The sequence below is a fragment of the Homo sapiens genome, chromosome 1, assembly GCF_000001405.40.
Source record: "Homo sapiens chromosome 1, GRCh38.p14 Primary Assembly".
Lineage (NCBI taxonomy): Eukaryota > Metazoa > Chordata > Mammalia > Primates > Hominidae > Homo > Homo sapiens.
In genome coordinates this window covers 187978351-187991716 of record NC_000001.11, presented here as the reverse complement: position 1 = coordinate 187991716, position 13366 = coordinate 187978351, and the positions used below count along the sequence as shown (strand labels likewise).

The 13366-nt window shown below is 33.2% G+C and overlaps 2 annotated features.

The window, feature by feature from the left end:
- Positions 5905–5994: an enhancer, noted in NCBI's record as "active region_2254". NCBI's record gives its function as "activates an Ori minimal core promoter by ATAC-STARR-seq in GM12878 lymphoblastoid cells {active_cell/tissue: GM12878}" and the evidence as "EXISTENCE:reporter gene assay evidence [ECO:0000049][PMID:35858748]".
- Positions 6045–6124: an enhancer, noted in NCBI's record as "active region_2253". NCBI's record gives its function as "activates an Ori minimal core promoter by ATAC-STARR-seq in GM12878 lymphoblastoid cells {active_cell/tissue: GM12878}" and the evidence as "EXISTENCE:reporter gene assay evidence [ECO:0000049][PMID:35858748]".

The window sequence follows — 13366 nt, the reverse complement described above, 5'->3', positions numbered from 1 at the left end:
TAAACACATATTAGAAAATGCCTTAGCATTAGTTTACAGATCAAATTAAATTCAACCATGCTGCCTTTGAAGCTTATCCATTAAAAATGTTTATCTATCTGATCCATCCACTTTTTACCAGCACTATGTGAAAATAGGCTGATCATTTAAATTCTCTTAACTTCTGTTTCCTCTTCTTTAAAACAGGATACTAATCACCAGTCTGTTCTATGTCAAAAGTCATTTCAGGACTGAAGATGCTTATGTAAATAAAAATGGCTTGAAGAACTATAGCAAACTAAACCTTTAGTCATGGTACAATTTTTTTTGATGGTCACTGAAATGAAATTTCAAATAAACAATTGTACTTTTTTTCAGTCAATCACCAAATGAAATACATTACACATTCTCACATACATTTCTACAAAACAGTTGTTGAAAACTTTGGCATTGCTTTATGGAATTATAAGGTCACAGTGTAGAATACACTTTTCTATTCATACCATTTGTGAGTCAAGCAATCAATATTTATAACAAAAAATAAGAAGAATGATTTCTGGTGGTAAAAGCTTTCAATGTGGGTAGATAAAGTAAATACAGGTATATTTCCTTTATATTTATGAACAAAAGTCAAGAGTCATTTCTCTTCATAATTATATATGAAAGTATAAAATAATTCCCAGATACTAAACAAGCACATAACTTATGTGTAATAATATTTCATTTATCTCTAATTTAGACATACAACAAAGGTTTGTCTCTGGGGAAAAGTCAAAAAGATTCAATAAGAAAAGCTAATTGTACTTGTTATATTTTAAGAGTACAGGTAACATCTCTCATAGGATGTATTTTTTATAATCAACAGCTTTATTTTATACATCACCTTTTACTCTAATGATTATGTATTACCTCTTTTATGAATGTTTCTAATATGCTCAGAAAGAATGAATCTCTTTCCACTGTATTTTATACATATATAATAATATTTTTCATAGGAATGTATTGTTTTTGTATATATCCTTCACCTAAAATAGATTGTATTCTTTGAGATCAGTGACAATGATTGTTTTCTTTTAATCATCAGAGATTACCCCATCTCTTAGATGCATAGGTACTTAAGATGTTTGTATGCTATCAAATTATAAAGAAGTAGCAGAGAGAATTAGTATAAAATCAAACACATGTAGCAATAAACTGATAATTTCCAACAAAGAAAAAGAAATGAATAAACAGACAAAAAGAATAGCAAAGGTACAGCAATTTGAAACCATTTCTGTTACAGCCACTCAGCCATTTTTATAGGTCCCCAAAATATGGCTAACTTACAAGACAATATGATTACTAATGTTAGAATTTAATAATACAGCAAAAAGAGAAAACTGTAGTTTATTTCAAAAATTTTATTTTGTAGGGGCACTGAAGTATATAAGAAAAACTTTAAACTATGTTATTAAAAATATACATTCACTACTAAAATACTGAAAATACAAGTTATTTTAATTGACTTTCCAGTAATATTTCCAAGTGTGATTTAAATCAACATGATTTATTTTTAAACTTTACTTATTTTGAGTTTAGGGCTTACAAAATAAAGATTTAATTACCTAATAAAACTGTTATATATGGTGCCCAACGAATGCAAAGAATGTGTGTGTGTGTGTGTGTGTGTGTGTGTATGTGTGTGTGTGTGTGTATAAGTATGCCTGGTGTGAAACCACTCAATAGTCTCTTCTGAATGTTGATAAAGAATAATCATTATTAAATGTTTATCAATTAAAAGAAAACATAAAAGGTTTTATGTAACTAAAAATCATCTTTTAGAAATGGTTTATGCAGGAGGAATTAAAATATAAAATGAGATCTTTACAATATTTTACCAGGCAAACACCCATTTAGAAAAGTATTTTATTAGCTAACTGATATATTGAAATGAATGATTTTCTTTCTTATTTAGTCAGCTTTCCATTAGTATGAAAATGGGAGCAGTTTGAACCTTGATTAATGGGTAGAAAGAAAATAAAGTTACGTTTTCAACCTTGATGTTAACTGTGAGGCAGAATGAATGTAATTTCTTGAGGAATTGAAATTATTTACATGTGACAAAGATGTAACCCATCCTGATGCATTCTGTAAGTAGAAAGCAAAACTGACTCTATAGGAGTCTTTTCCTCTGAAGAACTGATGGAATGTTATGTTGACAATGGTTAAAAAAAAATTACTTTTCTTATAATTTCTGAAATGGCTCAGTAGAGCTTAATAAATTATATCATCTCTAAGGCTTGGTTCCACAGCCTTAATTTAGTGGTACAAATCTAAAGATTGTATTTTCACATATTTAGATATGCCTTGCAGAAGTCAATAAATGTTTTCTGTAAAAGACACAATAGTAAACATTTTAGGCTTTGTAGATGATATATCTGTTGCAACTACTCAACTCTATTGTTTTATAGAACATAACCACTGACAAAACTCAGAAGAATGGGCATGGCCTTGTTCTAATAAAACTTTATTTACAAAAACAGGAAATTTGCCTATAGCCTGTGATAACCCCCTGGATTTAAACATATATAACTCTGCTAATATAACTAGGAAGTCTAATGCTTTGAAATATACCTTCTAGTCACCCACCCCCCAATTCTTGTCAACATCGAACATATAAAGTTCCATTAAAATTATATTCATATTATAGAATTTTAATATATTCAGTCTTGTTTAGTGTACTCTAACATGCCTTTTCATAATAGGAAATGTTAGTCTTAAAAGAAAATATTAGGTAAGATTGTTCTGTAATGAGTATTAAAGAGTTGAGGAACTCAGTCAATGCTTCACAAAAGGTCAATAACCTAGGTGATGCACTATATAGGTCAATTTACTACAATGGTCAGTATTCCTACCAAAGCACTCTACTGTTGAAAAGTAAATGTTGGCAACTCAGCCCACACTTTATTTCTGAAAGCAGATATAATGAAGAGATTAGAAATAATCTATTTCATTTTAGTGTTTAATTCTAAGGAAGTTTATAAGGCAACATGTATTGATATTACTTCAAAAATTCAAATATATTGGTATTTTCTGACTATTCATTTCAAGGTACACTATATTTCTATTTATTTCATAAATATATTCATCTTTCTATATAGTGGATATTGGAGAACTTTATTAGAATTTTAATTTAATTAAATGTAATTAGATTTAGCAACAAGTAACTAAAGCAATTATATTAAGAGTTTGAAATCCACTGGAAATTTTTATCAGAAAAGAAAGAATGTAAGTTTATAAATTCACTGGTTACATATTCATCATGAATGGTATTTTACTATATCTTTAGTGAGTCATAAAGAAATTGTGAATATTAGGGACAAGAACAAATACTGATTCTGTATATCCTTCTTTGTTTGTAACATGAGGATGAAATCAGGATATACTGGTTTCAATTTTTTCTCAGAATCTGTCCTTTAATTATTTGATATAATAAATTCACCCACTCCTTTGTTTAACAAGTCACAATTTCTTATATAATTAAACCCATTAAAAATTATTTTTAAATGACAACAAAATCTACTTATCTTCAGTAAAACTATAACTAGAAGTCATAGAAGATTAAACTAATTGTTTTCTATTTAAAAAATCACTGCTTTATTTGAATAATGTTTGAGATTTTTAGTGTCCCACATTTTGGGTAACTAAACTGTGTGATGATTTTAGCACTTAATAAAAACCATAAAATTTTAGTACTGGAAAAGTGTCTAAAGTCATGTAGTTTGACTCCATTTTGCCAGTGATTAAAATTAAAGCCTGAGGAATAAGTGACACTGAAGGTCAGAAATACAGTTATTGGTAGACTCTAGATTGAAACTCATGATCTGTCCAATTTTTCTATAATTCATTGTTCTTGAAATAGGTTAGATAAAGAGTGCAGATTATACAATAGATAAAGCTCCATTCTTGAAGAAGTAACACAAGTTAACCATTACTGAGAACTTTGCATAGTCCAGATATGACACAAAGGACTTTCAACATACACCATCTCACTTGATCTTCCCAATAGCTTTCTTAGGTAGGCATTATTATTACCTCTTTACAGATGGGAAAACTGAGACCAAGAAAGATTAAATTTTTCTAAGTCACACAGCTAGTAAATGCCAGACACAAAACTTGAAGCTAGGCAGTTGGAAAGAGAATATGCTTAGACCTCATTCAATTTGCCATCCATTAGTAAACCTCCACTTGGTCCACTTGTTAAATTAGCAGATGTATCACCCTCCTTTAAAAACATGCTGATTCATGCCCAGGTCTACCAAATGCCTGAAACTGATAAGGCTACTTCTTATATGTAAAGTACTAGAACAGTGACTGACACAGAGTAAATCGAAAGTAAAATTCTCTAATTGGTCTCTACATTCACTAACTTTTCCAAGCAACCAACCACCTATGAGCCACAATTAACTGGAAAGGTGGTTATGTAGTGTACTAATTTCCATACTGAAAGAGTAAGAATTCCTTAGTCTTTCTGCCACAGAAGGACTGGATATGCATGAACATATTATTTATTATTTATTGTTTCTCAATTTTGGAAATTGTTCCTTGGGATAAAGTTAAACCATAATTAGTTAAGGAGGTTAGCCCAAAAAAATAACCTGCTACTCCATTCTGTGAAAAAAACACACACGAATGACAAATGCACCTGTATATAATCAAGTCCATATTTCCTTAATAGTTTATGGGAAAGGAATCAAAAGTGTGATTACCCATACTGTCAAAATTAGTGATTATTTTCCCAGAAAATCTAGTGTCATTAAAATTTCCAAGAATGAAAAGACACCTATGGAATTAGACCTTAGTCATTTTTACACTGGGGGCAAAGACTGTGTATTGAAGGCTGTATGATCACAGGTGAGATTCTTTATGTCTCTTATTTTTTCATTTAAAAGTGAAAAAGAAACAATAATGAGTCTCATAGAGTTCTCATTATTAATTAAGCTTCTGAAATTAATTAAGCTTCTAAATGTAAGGTGCTTGGAACAAGGCTGGGTGCATGTAAGTGCTACTCTTCCTTCTTCATGTATACCTTTAGGTTTTTAGGACTTTGAGTAAACACATTATGTTGTGTTAATTAATAACTTCAAATCAATCACTTCAAAGTCTTATTTTCAATGTAATCAAGAACCTTGATGACGTATTTTACCTTTTAGGAACACGTATTATTTTATTTCTGTAAATGATTAAGATTGCTGCTGTTGACAGCCTTAAAAGTGTCTCAGTCCAGTGATCAGTGACTGAAAAAGAGCTACATATTATAACTGATGTGATATCCTGTCCCTTGAGAGGCAGAACTGTCATATTGATAGTAATATTCTATTTCCAGAATGAGCATCTGAACCACAATATTAACCCTTGGACATTCTACACCATGTCAGCAAGGCTTTAATGCTAAGACAACTGGAAAGCTGAAAATTTCAAGCAAATGATTTGAACATATTTCTTAAGTCTGCACAATTATCAAATACTTATTTTGACTTGTAAAATATTGAGATTATGACTTGTTTGAGTTTCCCTTTAGCATAACAGACTCCAATTTGGGCATTTCTGAATATATTTACAGAAGGGAGAGCAGCTGACAGGATGTCCTGATTTGACTCAGCGAAATGGAAGAAAAGTTCCATGCACTAGGATTGCTGGAGGTCAGAGTTTGTGCTGCTGAAATCATTCTTTAGCCTCTTTCATCTCCTTCATGTATCCAGGGGCATGTACTACAAGCCTGGAGAGCAAATAAGTGAACACTTTAAGAAGTTGTTTTACTAAGACATCCAGGAATTTGAAAACAGGGGACCACAAACTTTGTGGCCTAATTCTTGAAAGGTGGGAAAATGGGAAGGAAAGATTTTTTTTTTCCTCATTCAAGTGAAGAGACTACATGAATCCCCTCAGAGGCTGAGACTTACAGAGCAGTGTCCAAAGCAAAATAGCAGGGGGGCCTGGCTTGACCAGGAAATTGGACAGTCTGTCCTAGAATGAGTAGAATGAGGAACACAAACCAACAGATGTTTAAGCAGAAATCAGGGTAGAAGAGGAGTGGATGATGTGCATGAGCAAATGCTGACAGAAGGAAACAGACTGCTCCACATGATAGCTAAGAGATTAAATTCTCAACCATATTTAATTTCTACCTTTCAACCAGATGAGTGGAATTAAAAATGAGCTTACTGGGATGATATAGCGGTAAGAATCCCATTTGGAAGGCCAAACGGGATGAATTCAAAGCCTGACTTGGTCATTGTCAATGAATATGATGATAATACTGACCTCAAAGTATTTGAAGGAGGATTAAATGAGTTAATTTATGCAACCGAAATTTTCACACATCACTGGTGGGTCTGCAAATGAAACAACTCATCTGAAAACCAACCTGTCAGTTTCTCATAATGATAAGTATCTACGTCATTTATGAACCTTCTAAATATTTATTCAAGAAAATTAAAACATATATATACAGTAAAAGCACCTTACACTAGAATGTATCTCTCTAAAAGTATATATAAAATATCTAACATTAGGAGTGCTTTTTCCCTGAACTATAGAATTATGGTGAATATTTTCTCTCTTTAGGGTAATTTTAGTAAATTAATTTAAAATTTTTTTGGTGTATGGAATAATTTTATTTGTATTTCTCTAACAATTATGTGATTTTACCACTGGAGATAGATATGAGGAACACGGGAGAGATTTCCTTTGTCTGCAAATGATTGGCACTAATAAGTGACTTCCTACAGTGTTCTTTTACAATTTCCACGGTGTTGTGCTGGGTAAGCATAACAAATACTGAGAAACCATTAGGTTCTGAGAAATTTCTGGGAAGAGAAGACATTTAACCGTCTCAAAAAAAACAAAAAACAAAACAAAAAAAAAAACACTGTAAAGTAAATGCTATTATTTCAATAGAAGAAATAGAGACAAGTCAGAATTAAAGATCATTACTTTGCCTAGTTATATAAATAAGGGTTAGAGCCAATGTTAAAAACAACAACAACAAACTAAGTAGCTGAATGAACCCCCAAATCCATGTTTCCTTTATTATACCATACTGTTACATTCATTTTTGCTGGGTTTTCTTTGTTTTGATATGATTTAGTTTTATCATAAATAGTATTTCCTTAAAACTTCCCATTTATTGGGATATAGGAGCTCAGTTTTTGTTTTTTTTAAATTACCTCTTTCCTCTGCTTTTAATAGGGAAAAGTGATGTATAGGGGAAATGGTATCCACTGGTGTCCAAAGGAGCTTCACTGATCTTTGCTCTTGGTTGCTAAATTTGTCTAATTCTTGACCTGTAAGACTTGTCATGCCTGCCTTGTGTGGGATTATATGTAGGTGCCATTTCAGAGTCCAGAACCACAGACTTTTGCTGTATATATCCAAGTTCCAACCTCTGCAAGTCTATTTGTGCTAATCCAAAGGCCTCCCTGTGTTCCTTGCACTTCCATGCCTCTAGCCAGTCACCAGCGATTATCTTCCTCTCTTTTATACACATTCAGGCCATGGGGATCCAGGAAGCTGCTATAAAATCATATATTTAGCTATATCTACTTGTGATACACCATTATCCCACGGCTTTTAAACATATGTGAACATCTAGGTCTCTGCCTAATGGTTTTAAATAAGGTCTTACTATGCCTGGGGATACATGTTACAAACTCACATATACTTGGGCTCCAACATATCTGTCTAGACTATGATGGCCCTCTCCCTCATGTCATGCACCTATGAGCCCAGAGGCCAGGGAAAACATCCTTAAACCTCCCCCTACTCTCTCTTTTCCTCCTTTTGTTTCCCTGACTTGCCAGTCAATCCCTTAGTCTGGAAAGAACAAATCTTTCTTTTATTTATTTATTTCAATGTAATTTTTAAAATCTATTAAAGATCAGCAAGTTTAAATGGCTTAGGCACCAAGAGAAAGAAAGGAATTATCCTATCAAAGAAATCCTCAACTCTGCTCTTCCTGGGATAGTTTAAACAACATTTAAATAGTATTAAACAATATTTAAATGAAATCAACATATACTTTTTCTCTCAAAATTTCTATTTTTAAGCCTATTATCTTTCTGCAAAATCTCATTCATACTCTCAGAATCTAAAAGTTAGTTGAATTTTGTATTTGCATTCTTTCTAGATTCACTGTAAAATGCTGTCTCCTACTCCTGCTATAGGCAAATGAAGTTTTAGGATAACTGAGGAGAGGGTTTCACTTAAGTGAAAGCAAAAGACAAAGAAAACCACATAAATATTTTATTAAAATGAATGCCAATTACTAAATATATTTCTTATTGTCAAAAATTATGGCTGGGACTTCTTCCTAAATGTTCTCCTAAGTGCCATATTTTCTATATCTGAGTGACTTTGCATTATTCTTCTTCCTGGAAATGCTACAGCATCTTTCATTTTATTTTACTTATATAACTAATATAAATTTCTGAAAGTTTAGTATGTATTATTTTTGGTATAAAATTTTCTTTACTGCTTTAAGGACTGAATGAGCTCCTTCTTATAAATGATTTGCAAGTCTTCCTAAGTAGCAGGTATGGTTCTGTCTTTGAGGAACTTCAAGACAAATGTGTATAGATAAGCTTTTACAAAGAGCCAGATGGTAAATATTTTAGGTTTTGTGGGTGATCTCCATCACATTTCTTGTTCCCTTCACCTTCATCCTTCTTGTTCTCCTTCTCCACTACTTCTTGCAATCTTTTAAACATTCAAAGACCATTCTTAGCTCACAGGACTTGCTGCAATTTCCCCAGTGTGCTATAGTTTGTTGACCACTTTTCCAGATCAAGGGGGTAGATAATAAATACACAAATACACAAAAGTGTGTGTGTGCACATAGGAAGTGAATGTTGAAATAAGAAAATGAGTGCATGCATCTGACAAAGGTCTATTATTCAGAATCTACAAGGAACTTAAACAAATTTACAAGAAAAAAGCAAACAACCCCATCAAAAAGTGGGCAAAGGATATGAACAGACACTTCTCAAAAGAAGACATTTATGCAGCCAACAGACATATGAAAAAATGCTCATCATCACTGGTCATTAGAGAAATACAAATCAAAACCACAGTGAGATACCACCTCATGTCAGTTAGAATGGCGATTGTTAAAAAGTCAGGAAGCAACAGATGTTGGCGAGGCTGTGGAGAAATAGGAACGTTTTGACACTGTTGGTGGGAGTGTAAATTAGTTCAACCATTGTGGAAGACAGTATGGCAATTCCTCAAGGATCTAGAACCAGAAATATCATTTGACCCAGCAATCCTATTACTGGGTATATACCCAAATGATTAATGATTATAAATCATGCTGCTATAAAGACACATGCACACGTATGTTTATTGCAGCACTGTTCACAATAGCAAAGGCTTGGAACCAACCCAAATGCCCATCAATGATAGACTGGATAAAGAAAATGTGACACAAATACACCATGGAATACTATGCAGCCATAAAAAAGAATGAGTTCATGTCTTTTGCAGAGACATGGATGAAGGTGGAAGCCATCATTCTCAGCAAACAAACACAGGAACAAAAAACCAAACACCACATGTTTTCACTCATAAGTGGGAGTTCAACAATGAGAACACACGGACACAGGGAGGGGAACATCACACACCAGGGCCTGTTGGGGGTTGGGTGGTAAGGGGAGAGAGAGCATTAGGACAAATACCTAAGGCATGTGGGGCTTAAAACCTAGATAACAGGTTGATAGGTGCAGCAAACCACCATGGCACATGTATACCTATGTAACAAACCTGAATGTTCTGCAATGTATTCCAGAAATTAAATCAAAATTAAAAAACAATAGAAAAAAGAAAATGGGTGTATGGCTATTTTAAAAAGATATGTCAGAGAAATGACTTCATTCGGAAAAGGTGATGTTTGTGGAAACATCTTGAATGTAGTGAATAAAATAATGAGTCATGGAAAGAACCAAGAGATCTTATAGGCAAAAGAAATATCAGGTAAAAATTTTGGGAGCTGAGAAATAAAAACAAGCAATATGTCTTGAATGGAGCGAATAAGTTAAACTGTAATAAGAGATAAGATCAGAGATGAAGATAAAGATAATATTATATACAGTGTTATAGGCAATTATAATTCTTGAGGATTTACTCTAAGCGTAATGAGAAGACACTGGGGGGCAAATGCACCTGACCCAGGAGTTAGAGAAGCTTAACGATGGCATTTAGTGGAAGCCAGAGGGAGTGCAGGCCCAGATGCTGCTCAATACACGTACCAACAATATGTGTCAGCAGGTCTGGTACCATGTCCATGCACTGCTCCAGCCCCTCACACCATACTAACCTAAGCATTAACACTCATCTGCCACTTAACTTCTGCTTTACCAATTACATGCTGCTATGGTCTGAATATGGTTTGTCCACAACAAAACTCATGTTGAGGCTCAGTCTTCAAAATGGTGGTGTTGAGAGGTGTTGCCTTTAAAAATGATTAGGTCATTAAAATGGATTAATGTCTTTTTTATGGGACTGGGTTAGTTCTCATGGGAATGGATTTGTTCTCTTGGAGATAGATTAGCTCCCATGAGAGTGAGTTGTTATAAATGGGGTTGCCACCATGTTATTTATTTTTTTTGCATGCATTCATTTGCCCTTCCACTTTTCTACCATGTTATAACATAGCATGAGGCCCTTGCCAGATGCAGCCATTGGATCTTGAACTTCCCATTCCCAGCCTGCAGAACCAAAAGCTAAATAAACCTCTTTCTTCATAAATTACCCTGTCTTAGTCATTCTGTTATAGAAAAAAAAGTACTAAGACACATGCAAATTTCTAAGAGTTCTAGTAAAATGAATGAATGAATAGATATGTAGAAGACATATGGGTAGATAGATTTCTTGCCAGTATATAAATGCAAAGCACAAAAGCCAAGAAAGAAAAGAGGTTTCAGGAAGGAGAAACTGATCAATGTGTCAAATGTTTTGAGTGGTTGTTAGTCAAATGTGGACTGGAGGACTGAGAACTGATTTAAATTTGGTAAGTATTGAGGGCTAGGAACCTTGACCAAAATGGATTCAGGGATGTTGGGGAGATGAAAACTGAATCACAGTGGATTGAACAGAGACATATATGACACAGCAGAAACAAGTCTATAACTTTGTTGAGAAATTTTGCAACAGAGAAAAGCAGACAAAAAAGAGGCATCTACTGGAAAGTGTTTATTTTTAAGAAGGAAAATATTGAAACAAGATTTATTCATATCATTAATTAGAGAGGTAGAGGTTAATGACAGACAAAGAGGGAAGACTGTGAGGACAAATTTCTGATTTGATTCTGATTTGATGGAAGGTGAGAGAGTGTTGGCCCTCTCTTCTCTTTTTTTATTGAGATGGAGTCTTGCTCTGTCACCCAGGCTGGGGTGCAGTGGCCCAATCTCAGCTCACTGTAACCTCTGCCTCCCAGATTCAAGAGATTCTCATGGCTTAGCCTCCGGAGTAGCTAGGATTACAGGAGTGTGCCATCATGCCTGGTTAATTTTTGTATTTTTAGTAGAGATGGGGTTTCACCATGTTGGTCAGGCTGGTCTTGAGCTCCTGACCTCAAGTGATCTGCCCTCCTCAGCCTCCCAAAGTGCTGGGATTACAGGCATGAGCCACAGTGCCCGGCCCTTCCTTTTTATCTTAAGTGTTCCCTTCTACTATAGTCTTCACTTGTACGAATAATTTGTAGCTTTGTTTTGTTTCTATAGCTTTCTATTACCTTCATGTGATAGGGTAATTTATCCTCAACTAGGTTAAAATCTCTGAAACAAAACCAAACATAGTACATTATTTTTGTAAGCAGCTATCACCTTTTTGTTTGATTATGATTATCATGTTGACTATTTGAAAAATGTATGTATGTTTAAACACACACGTATATAGATATAGATGAAGTCCTTTTTATATGACTTAATTATCTTAATTAGGATATTATAAGGAATAATCAGGACCCAATGTGTTGAACAACTGAGCTGTGATTTTTTTCATTTGTGTTTCTTCTGTATAATATAATATACCTTCATGGAGTCAGTCATAAGTACTAATAACTATTTTTGAAAATACATTAGTATAAATATGTTTTGTCATCAGAATATTCACTAGTAGCTAAAGATGGCAATGGTTAAATTTTATATAGATGTTCTCTGATAAGTCAGGGAATATCATGATGTGAGATCCAGCTTATGAAGCCAGTTGTTCAGTGTTCAAATATATGCAGCAATTGGTTGTTCTATTAAGTGCAGGGAGTTCAAATGCCTAGAATAAGTGTTTAATTATGAGTCAAAAGTAATTTAGTGGTGCCTGAGTGTACATTTTAATAATGGCACACCAATTTGCATTTAAATATTCACGAGTTCACTGCCTTTTGAGAAAGTCTATTCAGTTATAAAATAAGCTTTTGAAGACACGTGTCTGGTTGATTAATAGCTGGGAATAGCCCCAATGTTATACAGATAAGCTATTGACACTACCACATGTGAAATTACACAAAAGTTATTTTATCAATGTAATTTTTAACCTACTGAAATGCATAATTTCAGTAGGTTAAAAATTGACACATACAATATCAAAAATGATTAACAAAATAATAAAAATTCACAAATAAAATTATCTGTATTATTGAAATATTTAAGCATCATAATAAATTTAAAAGTAAATGCTTGCAAATCAAAACAGAAATGCTATTTTTTAATTTTCTATTACACATTTCTTATCTATAATATAGAAAAGGAGAAGACATACTACATTTTACCCCTTAATCTTGGCTATAAATACAAAGAGCAAAAGTTCTTTGTTTACAACTAGCAAAGTGTATAAACTAATTTACTGCACGGATGCTCATAATTGATGTTTTCTACTCACTTCAGATCTCCTATAAGTACAATACACCTGTAATTTTCTTGAGGCCATCTATAACGCATACCAATGAAAAATCATATCTAATCAACAAGAGCAAAGATTGTGATTTGTGCAGTCCAATGCATTTCCGTGTTATAAATGCAAATTTGTACAAACACTATCTCTAGTATCTTAAGGAATACTGGGAATAGTTAATGCTAAAAACAACCACAGGATTAAAACTAAATCTCAGTAATATTAAGAACAAAATCCGATGATCTATAGCTAAGACTATAGCTTATTTTATGGAAAATACACTTATTTAGTTCCCATTTGAAAACTCTATTGTCAGTTTTACTTTGGCTTCCAAGTCCTATCACTAAAACTTAAAATATATGTCTCCTATTCTATTGAAAATAGGGAAATCGAGTAAAGCTACAATAATTAGATCTGGACGTGGAGAAAAAAATAATTTATAAATATATTGTTTCTTCATTATTTT